General features: G+C 42.8%; 1 pseudogene across 1 annotated transcript in view; it reads left to right on the forward strand.

The window, feature by feature from the left end:
* The first annotated feature begins 3,827 nt into the window (after positions 1-3,827).
* OACYLP (O-acyltransferase like, pseudogene) overlaps positions 3,828-12,374 on the forward strand; it is a 72,699-nt pseudogene continuing 64,152 nt past the window's right edge. The window contains exon 1 of the transcript NR_024021.3: positions 3,828-4,101. The product of NR_024021.3 is annotated as an O-acyltransferase like, pseudogene (transcript). The remainder of the gene's footprint in view (positions 4,102-12,374) is intronic.

The raw sequence follows: 12,374 nt of genomic DNA on the forward strand, positions 1-12,374 counted from the left end.
GCATTCTTCCTTTTGCGGCCTGAGAGCAGTGGGTATTAGTTATATTTTCCCCTTTGATCCTTATTCTGGACAGTCAAAACTGATCCTTGTTTTCTCAAACCCATTGCCAAGTGATGGGAGCCCGAATGCCCTTTCCTTTTTAATAGTTACTTGAATAAAGTGACCGTGTCATAAATAATAGCACCAGCCGGTTGATTGCTGCTGCTTCCGGAAACGTTAGAGGCCTGCTTTCAGGAAACGAAGGCATTATTTATTTTCATGTCCTATTTTTATGCCCAGCAAACTGCTTGCAAAAAACAAAAAACAAAAAACAAAACAGGTACCTAAAATATTTTTGTAAAATGACTGAGCTTCCTTGAGCCTTGATTAGTCATAATTTTTTTTTTCTTAGGGGTTGGGACAAACAGAAGGATCTTGAGCTATTAATTACCCAGAAGTAAGATCCTCTTTTTCTTTTTTATTTAGGTAGTATTTTTAAACCATCGTAAGTGGTTTTTATTCCTAATGATTAAAATGTGGAGGTGGGTTCTGCTCATTATATTTTTTCTCCACTTGAAAAAAGATGAAGTATTTAATGCTGAATTCTAAAAGCAATGTCATTCTTACTTTCAGTGACTACATGACATCAGCAACTAACCCGGGAATAAATCCAAGTTTCAGAGATTTTTCTGTTTAATCATTCATACAGACTTCCCTTGGTATTGGCAGTGGAAAAGTTCCAGAACCACTTCCTGTGGATACCAAAATCCACTGATATTCCTGGATATAAAATGGTCTAGTATTTGCATATAATCTACATTCCCCTCTATACTTTAAATCATCTCTACAGTACGTACAACACCTAATACGATATAAGAACTTGTTACACTATATTGTTTTATTTGTATTTTTAAAAGTTGTTTTTTTTTTTCCCCTCTGAATCTTCTTTCCACCATTGATTCAAACTGTGGATTTGAAACCAGCAGACTGCATTCAAATTATCTAAACCTCTAGTTTTTTCAATCCCCTCTCTCACCCTTTTCTAAGGTAGAAAGATGGTTAAGCAAAACAAAACCCAAAAAGCAACTTGGCAGTGGGAGCTCTAATGCTAACAAACATTTATTTAGGACTCGGGATTCTATAAATGTTTCTGTATCATGAGCTTTAAGTTCATACTACAATGCAACTGTGTGAAGTAGGCTGAGTTCATAATTTTACAGATAGGGAAATTGAACCTGCTTCTGTAAGAGCCAGGACTTAAACCCTGGTTTCTGGCACCAAATTCGGTTTCCTTCTTCCTACAAGTTGTTGATTTATCTACATATTCCAAGTTGGATGCTTTCATTTTTACATGGAAATTTCATTGTCTACTTCAATTAGACAACACTTTCAGAGGTGTTTAATAATAACCAACACATTAATGGTAAAAAAAAAAAATCCTTTTTGTATTTTTGTTTGTTTTTTGTAGAGATGGGGTTTCGCCATGTTGCCCAGGCTGGTCTTGAACTCCTGAGCTCAAAGAAATCTGCTTGCTTCGGCCTCCCAGAGTGCTGGGATTAGAGGCATGAGCCACTGTGCCCGGCTGAAAATACTTTTGAAGGTAGATGCAGAGGATTTCAAAGTTAGAGACCTGAGAGGTAATTTGTACAAGGCTTGAATCTCTCTAATGCCTTCATGCGTGGTCAACAAACAGCTGAGCACCTCCAAGGCTGGAGACCGTGATGTCATTTGAAAGAGCCCCAGTTCATCTTTGAGTTAGTTTTGACTACTAGAAAATTATTTGTTTTAAAGCTGCCCCTTTGTAACTTGGATCAAAATTATCTGTTTTATTTTTTTTCAGGGAACTATTTACCTGAGAGTGTGTTAACTATTTCAGCTTGTGTGCCTTAATGTTTTTTTCTTTAAGCCAATAACAAAAAAATCCTAAATTGCCACAGTACCTACTGTTTATTAAGGGTCTACAAAAGGTCAGATACTGTAATGTCCCCTTGTAGATACATTATCAGGATATCTGGTATATACATTATCTGCCAGGTATGTAAGTGGGCATTTAGAATATAAGGACAATACGTAGTATTTCTTGAGTATTTATAATAGGCCAGGAACTCTTTCAGTACCTTTTTTTTTTTTGAGGCAGGGTCTTGCTCTGTTGTCCAGGCTGGTGTGCCATAGCACAAATGCAGCTCACTGCACCCTCGACCTCCTGGCCTCAGGCAATCATCCCACCTCAGCCTCCCGAGTAGCTGGGACTACAGGTGTGTGCCCCTATGCTTGGCTAATTTTATAAATGTTTGGTAGAGACAGGGGTTTCACCATGTTGCCCAGGCTGGTTGACCTCCTGCGCTCAAGTGATCCTCCTGCTCAGCCTCCCAAAGGGCTGGGATTATAGACATGAGCCACTACACCCAGCCTCTTTCAGTACTTTTAAAATTTATTTTTATTTTTTTAGACATAGGATCTTGCTCTGATGTGCAGGCTGGAGTGCAGTTGTGTAATCATAGCTCACTGTAACCTCTAACTCCAGGACTCACGCAATCCTCCTGCCTTGGCCTCCCAAAGTGCTGGGATGGCAGGAATGAGCCACCACACTTGGCCTTCTTTTAATACTTCATATTAAATTTCATAATTCCAAGGTGTAGAGACTATAATTATCTTCATTTTCAAGATAAGATAAATGAGACTGCACAATTGCTCTAGGTCACACAGCCAGTAAGGAACAGCTTTGGCTCTTAATCACTACCCAGAAGGCCTGAGAATATTCCAGGATGATTAAAAGAGCACAGTGCCTGCCCTCCTGGAGCTTCCAGTCTATAAGAGAAAAGGAGACAGAAATAGATACCTTCAAAGTGAGGAGGTAAAGGGAGTGTGCAAAGCAATTAGGCAGCAGAGGGAACAGGCTACTCTCATAGCCTACTCTCAGGAAGCCCAGAAGGGCTTCCTGGAAGAGCCAACACCTACTTAGAAGAATAAGTAGGAATAGATGAGGATGCCCAGCAGAAGGGGAGCTGGGGGAAGGTTGCTCCAGACAGAGGGCAGGGCACGAACAAAGGAACAGAAGTCAGAGTCGGCGGGGTGTGTGCATAGAAAGGGGTGGTCTGGGATGCTAGAATAGAAGATGCTCTGAAGCCAACTGGCAGCAGGAAGCACAACTGAGTCACGGCCACCCACAAGTGCAGATGTGTTCCAGCAGTGTAAACAAGATCTACAGAAATTGCTTCCCATTTTAAATGGAGATATGGAAGTTACTATTTAAAGCAAGCCTTTCTGGAAAAAGAATATTTACACCGTGAGAAATCCAGATCGACACATTTTATGTTTTCTCAAAGTAGTTGTGTACCATTCCCATGGTCCTTCATCAGCGTCTGACTTCCCAGGATGTGTTTTCGAAACTCCCACATGTGGATGTGTGTGCATATTTGTCCTACTGCAACAACTTCCTTCCCACGGGGCAGTTCAACATTCCCACGCTGATACCACTCTGGAAGTCCAGCACACGCTTTGGCAGATGTATACCCTATGCAGACTATCACGGAGAAGCCCTTCTTTATCATTCATCCAAATGTTTTACGAGCTCATCATCCTTCTTGGACAAAAGCCAAATATTGCCACTTAACATAGTCACTATATTTTTGAAACCCAGAGACGTACTCCAGGCCATCTAGCTAGAGAAAATCCAGCATTATCCATGTTAACTGGAAATGTTAACCTGCATAACTAAAGGAAGCCAGGTGGTCAGCAGCCCCCACATCCACAGTGCTGTGTTACTCAACAATAACAAGTTGTATATAAATTGGTTTCCATGGTTTGTTCATCTCGGCCGCTTTGCAGGTGGCTGGGAGACGCAGCTTGTCTCTCCGCCTGTTAAGGAGCGAGCATGTCCCATTTACCCGCGACATATTATACACCAGTGTTTCATAAATATCAGGCTGTTTGTCAAAGACGTGAGGCTTATCCTAACAGGTTAGGAGACAATGATGAGCCTGACTCTACTATTTTGCCTGCTGTCTTTTCAATTTCCTTTTGTTTTTCCTGCAAGAAACATCTCTCTGAAGTGCGTGCAAGATACTGATGAATTCCTTTCCGATCTGAATTCAGTGAAGCCCAAAGAATACGCTCTAAGAAGTAAGTAGGTTTCCCTGGCCCATTGTGTAGGTGAACACGTGTAGGTGAACACAGGGCAGTGGAGGTTTGTGCTGGGAGCATTCTAGACAAACTCTTGAGAATTAAAGACACAGAACCAGAAAGGAAAGAGAAGATGAGCCTTAATTTGCATTTTGCCAGGAATCAAAGAGGGAGGAGAATTTTTAGCGTAGGAGGCTCTACCGTCAGTCTAGCCAGAAGAATCTCACGAAGACCAACCTCTTAAGATGAGAGGCCGGGTACGGGGGCTCACATCTGTAATCCCAGCACTTTGGGAGGCCAAGGTGGGTGGATCACTTGAGGTCAGAAGTTCGAGACCTGCCTAGAGAACATGGTAAAACCCCGTCTCTACTACAAATACAAAAATCAGCCAGGTGCGGTGGTGCACGCCTCTACTCCCAGCTACTTGGGAGGCTGAAGCAGGAGAATCACTTGAACCTGGGAGGCGGAGGTTGCAGTGAGCAGAGATCATGCCAGCCTGGGCAACAGAGCGTGACTTCTTCTCAAAAAAGAAAAAGATGAGAATAGTTTATATACTGTATGATGCTGATTATTATTAACATCATTGATGTCATCAATATGGATAACATTTCACTGTTATATGAGATATCTTGGGTTTTTTTTTTTTTTTTTGAGATGGAGTCTCACTCTGTCACCCAGGCTGGAGTGCAATGGTACGATCTTGGCTCACTGTAACTTCGACCTTCTGGGTTCAAATGATTTTCCTGCCTCAGCCTCCTGAGTAGCTGGGATTATAGGTGCCCGCCACCATGCCTGGCTAATTTTTGTATTTTTATTTTCACCATGTTGGTCAGGCTGGTCTCGAACTCCTGACCTCATGATCCGCCCACCTTGACCTCCCAAAGCGCTGGGATTACAGGCGTGAGCCACTGCCCCCGGCTGGCTTCTTTTTCTAGACATTTAGTTTGCTTTTAGTAATGAGTTGCTTCCTTATTTGGGGAAAAAGTCTTGCCCATTCTGTGCTTGATAGTAAATGCTAAGGAGTGTGTTGGTAAATGCACGGGCTCAAGCTGGAAGGAGTGAGACTGTAGCCACGCCTCTTGGCATGTGATATAGATGGACTTCGGATGGTCAGAAGTTTATTATTAGTATTTCCCAAAATCATTCCCACAACTAAAGAGACACATACTTTCCTGCCGGAAAGGGACAAAAAAATCAGATGTGTTTTCATTGGGGTAACCTCTTTTTCAGAAGAATGATTCATAGTTGATGCTGATGGAAACCACTAACAAGGAAAAATGTAAAAACTTGCTTTTTCCAAAGCCAGACAAATGAACATAGCAATTTCCATTCACATTTTGAATGCATGACTAATGTACTTTGTATTGAAAAATGCTTAGTAGCATAATATCCATCATAAAGGTAATCAAAAGCTTTCATCTGATATTTTGTAATTCAAAATAGCACATAATTTGAAGCAGTTGCCATTCTACATGGGATTAGATGTCTGGATACTTAATGAAATAGCGAGAGAATACAAATCCAATTGATTTACTAGCCATCTTCTTCAAGTCCCATTTTGAAATTGATTGTGTTTTGCTACAACACTTGGTGATGTTGACAGGGAACATTCTGACAAACTGGGGCCAAATAAGCGGGCCAAGAAAATCCAGAAGGTGCCATGGCTGGCTCAGATTCCTGGTGATGAGGTGGTGGCACATATTGTCATCATTAGTCACAGCCATGTTAATGCTATATTTGCCTTGTAAGTTGCTCTAGTCATGCACTAACCTTGTTCCATCTGTAGGAGCCTGAAAATTGAAAATCTTGTAAGTTAAAAAGATACCTCCAAGATAAATGGTTTGGGAAAGAATTGAATGATTTATCTAAGTGGATAGATGACTTAATTTATTTTAACAGATGAATACAATAATCGGTAGTTTTTTAAACTGATTTTCATTCTAATGTACCGGAAAATACTTGGCGTTGTTGCTCTGACATTTCGCCTGAGATTTTTGAGCACAGCATGTCGTTCTGACCTTAGTTCTCAGCTTGGTTTTCCTGGCAGTCATGCAGATGGAAAAAGAATAAGAGTCACTGGTGAGAGTACTTTTATACGGCAGGCATCATTCCGAGGCTTGGACGGGAGCGGTGCCATTTAGTTCTAGCAGCCACTATGCGGGGGAGGACAGTGTTAGTATCATCTCTTTTATAAAAGAGGAAATGGAGCCACAGAAATGCAAAGTATCCTGCCTGCAGTGGTAGAAATAGGATTTGAGCTCACATCGTCCGATTCCTGAGTCTGCACTTTTAATTGTTGAATAAAATAAGCAACAACAGGGCTGGGTACGGTGGCTCACGCCTGTAACCCCAGCACTTTGGGAAGCTGAGGCAAGCGGATTGCTTGAGCTCAGGAGTTTGAGACCAGCCTGGCCAACATGATGAAACCCCGTCTCTACTAAAAATTGAAAAGTTAGCCTGGTGTGGTGGCACATACCTGTAGTCCCAGCTGCTCAGGAGGCTGAGGTGGGAGGATCACTTGAGCATGGGAGGCGGAGGTTGCAGAGACCCGAGATTGCTCCACTGCACTCCAGCCTGGGTGACAGAGCAAGACTCTGTCTCACAAAAAAAAAAAAACACAAAAAATAAATAAATAAAATAAGCCACAACAAGAGAAACAAGAACAACAGAATAAAACCCAATAGCAAGAAGAGTGAAGCAGAGCTACACATATCAATATGGAAGGATCGCATGGAAATAACATCAAGAAGAAAAAAACAAGCTGTAGAAAGTTATATACATATATAAGTTTAAACAAATGCAATTTAAGATGCTATCTTGCTCTATGTGGTTCTACATACGTAGGTCAAATGTTCAGAAATGCATGAGAATGATAACCTCCAAATTCAGTCCAGGGCTAGCCTTGGTGGGGATGCAATTAGGAACACACATTTCAAATGATTGGTCAAGTTTTACTTTTTAAGCTGGGTGGTGGGAACATAGGCATTTGTTTTATTGTTTATGCCTTTTTAATGTATTAAATATCACACAATAGCTTTTTTTTTTTTTTTTTTTTTTTTTTTGAGACAGTTTCACTCGTCACCCAGGCTGGAGTGCAATGGTGCGATCTCTGCGCCTCTGCCTCCGGGATTCAAGCAATTCTCCTGTCTCAGCATCCCAAGTAGCTGGGATTACAGGCATGCGCCACCACACCTGGCTAATTTTTGCAATTTTAGTAGCGACGGGGTTTCGCCATGTTGGCCAGTCTGGTCTCGAACTCCTGACCTCAAGAGATCTGCCCGCCTCGGCCTCCTGAAGTGCTAGGATTACAGGCGTGAAACACCACTCCCAGCTTCATGATGGCATTTTTAAATGCCACCTCCAATCCCCAAACACAAAGATGGTGGCAGGCATGGGCTATACAGGAGCTTGGATAATCGGCCAGGGCCTGAGGAATAAGGTAGAGAGAGAGTCCTTGAGTCATGGCTGTTCTAGAACAGGAGAGAGACTGATATTTAGAGAGACTCAATCCAGCAGTGGGCAAGATGGATTAAAAGGGGCAGCCATGGTAGGAAACACTGTAGTAATCTAACTCCAAAAGGAGGCTCCGTTTCAATCTTTCCACCATCTTTTTCCATTTGCTTTCTAACATTCTCATGTCCACCATCCTTACAGAAACAAAATCCACGAAGTACTTTTGTGTGCTTTGGTTTTGCCACCCTCCAAGGATCTTGGGATTTTTATTTTATGTCTCTTTTCGCTGCTGAAGTCCTTAGCGAGTGTTCTGGACTCACTGTTTCTGGTTTTGTTGCTGCTGTTTTAAACTCCATAAACCTCAGAAGTCCTACATTCAACTTCTTATCACGTACAAAAACCACATCCAGGCCAGGCACAGTGGTTTATGCCTGTAATCCCAGAACTTTGGGAGGCCCAGGCAGGCAGATCACCTGAGGTCAGGAATTCAAGAGCAGCCTGGCCAACATCGTGAAGTCCCATCTTTACTAAAAATACAAAAATTATCTGGGCATGGTGGCAGGCACCTGTAATCCCGGCTACTCAGGAGGCTGAAGCAGGAGAGTTGCTTGAACCCAGGAGGCAGAGGTTGCAGTGAGCTGAGATCACTCCATTGCACTCCATCCTGGGTGACAAGAGCTAAACTCCATCTCAAAAACAAAACAACACAACAAAAACCACATCCAGAAAGATCACTGGTATCCTCTCTCCTGGTTATTGTTAAATGTTCTTTCTCCTTAATGTCTACAAAGAGTCAAACTCTGTAAAATACTTGAAGAGATTTATTCTGAGCCAAAATGAGTGACTGATGTCCTGTGACACAGCCCCAGGAGATCCTGAGAACATATGCCCAGGTGGTCAGACTTCAGGTTAGTACATTTTAGGGAGATACGAGACATCAGTCAATCCAGGTAAGATGTGTATTGGTTGGTCTGAAAAGGTGGGACAACTGGAAGGGGGTGGGGTGGCTTCTAGGTCATAGGTGGATTCAAAGCTTTTCCTATTGGCAATTGGTTGAAAGAGTTTATCTAAAGACCTGGAATCCATAGAAGGAAGTGTGTGGGTTACGTTAAGGGATTATGGAGACCTAGGTTATTATGCAGATGAAGCCTCCAGGTAACAAGCTTCAGAGACAATAGGTTGTCAATGTCTCTTATCAGACTTAAGTCTGTTCTATCAGTCTTACGTTAACACTGGCCGGTTGTGCCTGAATTCTGAAAGGGAGGAGGGCATAATGAGGGATGTCCCCCCTCCCTTCCCATTGTGGCCTGAACTAGTTTTTCAGGTTGACTTTGGAATGCCCTTGGCTGAAAGGAAGGGTGCATTCAGATGGTTGGGGGTCTTAGAATCATATTTTTGTTTACATTAACCACCATGGAATGAGCTGCCCTTCCTCTTTCTTCATACTTATCTATTTCTATTGTAATTCTGGGTCGGGTCCCCTGTCTGGGCTGTCCTTCTATGCTGATAATTGGTCTCTTTTCTCCTTCTCTTTCTCTCTCTGCCTGACCCCCTGAACCTTCCCACAGGCACTTTGTTCCTTTCCTCATTGTACTTCTCTTGTAAACGAATCCAGGTTTAGAGACAGGATACTAAGCAGTGGAAATTGTGCTAGGCTGGCAATGGTAAGGCCTGGGACCGCCTCCTGCTTAGGCCAATCACCAGCTGTGTGGCCACATCATCTTGCTTAACACTTCACCTTTAACAAGGTTCCTCACCTGTAAATGGCCAGGCTGTGTCCTCAATTCTGGAAATCTACAGCAACTTTAAGAAATTCCAACCAAACCCTCATGACACATAGTTTACCTATAACAAACCTGCACATATACCTAGAACCTAAAATTTAAAAAAGGAATTCCAACTCCTAAGCCCAGCAGTGTGCTACAGGTAGTCTGTGCTGGCTTGAGAGAGCCAATTGTTAAGTGTCAAGGTGGTTGTTAAATATATTTTTAGGGGCTAACTCATGCAAATTTACAATTAAATTTTATTAAGAACAACAGTAATAATTTTTTTGAGACAGAGTCACTCTGTCACCCAGGCTGGAGTACAGTGGGGCAATCTTGGCTCACTGCAGCCTCCCCCTCCTGGGTTCAAGCAATTCTCCTGCCTCAGCCTTCTGAGCAGCAGGGATTACAGGTGTGCGCTGCCATACCTGGCCAATGTTTATATTTTTAGTAGAGACGGGGTTTCACCAAGTTGGTCAGGCTGGTCTCAAAACTCCTGACTTCAGGTGATCTGCCCACCTTGGCCTCCCAAAGTGCTGGGATTACAGGTGTGAGCCACCATGCCCAGCCCAAAAGTAATAAATATTCAAAACTCATCACTTCCTAATTATTTTACTACATTAAAAAAAATCTATCTGTAGGTCAGGTGCAGTGGTTCATGCCTGTAATCCCAGTACTTTGGGAGGCTGAGGTGGGCGGATCACGAGGTCAAGAGATCGAGACTATCCTGGCCAACACGGTGAAACCCTGTCTCTACTAAAAATACAAAAGTTAGCCAGGCGTGGTAGCATGCTCCTGTAATCCCAGCTACTCGGGAGGCTGAGGCAGGAGAATCGCTTGAACCTGGGAGGCAGAGGTTGAAGTGAGCCAAAATCGCGCCACTGCACTCCAGCCTGGAGACAGAGAATCTGTCTCAAAAAAAAAAAAAAAGAAAAAAAAATCTATCTATATTGTTAATGCTATTTACAGCTCTCATGTCTGTATAGTGGAAGTCACTGCTATGCTACTGTGCACGGCCTTCTAAGTTCGTGTTCAGGGACGTCACCTTGAGAGCTGGGGGTCAGCCACGGGGGCTGTATCTTCATCAGGGAAGTCAGCAATTGCTACAAGTCAGGGCTTGATTTATTGTTTTATTGTCTAGACTGAGGAAATTAATGGATAAAATGTTGAGTGTAAATTAGAAGTGTGTAATGACTAACCATTACATTATGAATAGCACAAAAAGATAAGGAAGTATCTTCAGTACTCCGTTATAAAATTCAGCAAAAAATTTGCTCACATCATGGACAAATAAGTTCTGACATACATCTTCCTTGTTTCACATCTGTATTACTCATTAACTTGAAAATATCAACATTCATGTTGGGACAATACTTAGTCAGCTGAAACCATAGATTGGCTACAGATACAAGAGTTGGGCAAAAATCAATGAAAGTATTCCAAGAGAATCAATTCATTATATGTGGAATTGATACTAAGGACCTCATTATTATACTGTAGGCTTCATTATTTGTAATTTGTGTATGTTATGGGCTGAATTGTGTTTCCCTCAAATTTGTATGTTTAAGTCCCAGTATGTCAGGATGGGATTCTCTTTGGAGACAGGGTTTTTAAAGAGATAATTGGGCCAGACGCAGTGATTCACGCCTGAAATCCCAGCTCTTTGGGAGGCCGAGGTGGGCGGATTGCTTGAGCCCAGGAGTTCAAGACCAGCCTGGGCAACAAGGCGAAACTATCTCTACACAAAATACAAAAAATTAGCTGGGCATGGTGGCACATGCATGTAATCTCGGCTACCCAGGTGTCTAAGGTAGGAGGATCACCTGAGCCTGGGAGTTCGAGGCTACAGTGAGCTGTGATTATGGCACTGTAGTCCAGCCTGGGTGACAGAGTAAGACTCTGTCTCAAAAAAAAAAAAAAAAAAAAAAAAAGAGAGATTGATTATTAAGCCCAAATGAGATGAGTTGGGGTGGGGGTTGTTTTAATCAATAACTGGTACCCTTATAAGAAAAGGAGCTTGGGACATAGACATGCCTGGAGGAAAGACCACATGGGGACACAAGAAGGCGGTCTCCTAGAGGACAAGGAGAGAGGCCTCAGAAGCAGCCAACCCTGCCAGTGCCTTGATCTCAGGCATACAGCCTCCAGAACTGGGACAAATGAATTCCTGTTGTTTAAACCACCCCGTCTGTGGTACTTCATTATGGCAGCCCTAGCGAACGAATCCAATGTCCCGCATGGTTTTTATATCAGTGTAATCGATACTAATCCCCACCTGGTGAGTGTTATAGGTTGAATGTGTCTCCCCAAAAGATATGTTGAAACCATAACCCCCTGGTTCTTGTGAATGTTAAGTTACTTGGAAATAAGGTCTTTGCAGATATGTAAGAGGAGGTAATACTAGATTAGGGTACGCCCTAATCCCATTATTGGTGTCCTTATAAGAGGGAAATTTGGACACAGACACAGAGGGAGAACATTCCACAAGGATGGAGAAGAGATTGGGGTGATGCCTCCTGGCCTAGGGCTGCTGGCAACTTCTAGAAGCTAGGAGAGCATGGAACTGGTTCTTCCTTGGAGCCTCCGAAGGGAACCAATGCTGCTCAGCCCTTGATTTCAGATTTCTAGTCCCCAGAACTGTGAGATAATACATCTCTGTTGTTTTAAGCCACCCAGTTCATGGAAAATTCTGAAGACAGCACTAGCAAACTAATACAAAGAACTGTGTATTAAAGCCTCTCAAATGCACCCTAAAATCAAAAGCATGCATTTATCATCCAGAACGGGGGGAGGGGGGAGAGGAGGCGGGAAAGCAAAGCACTGTGTCTCAGGTAGGTCCAGGGACTCATTTTCCTTGAGACGTAGCAGAGCTTTTTTTTTTTTTTTTTTTTTTTTGAGGCATCTCATTCTGTTGCCAGGCTAGAGTGCAGTTGCATGGTCTCAGGTCACTGCAACCTCTACCTCACCAGTTCAAGTGATTCTCCTGCCTCAGCCTCCCAAGTAAGCTGGGACTACAGGTACACACAACCACACCTGGCTCATTTTTGTATTTTTTCT

Source organism: Homo sapiens, chromosome 18 (genome assembly GCF_000001405.40).
Source record: "Homo sapiens chromosome 18, GRCh38.p14 Primary Assembly".
Classification (NCBI taxonomy): Eukaryota; Metazoa; Chordata; class Mammalia; order Primates; family Hominidae; genus Homo; species Homo sapiens.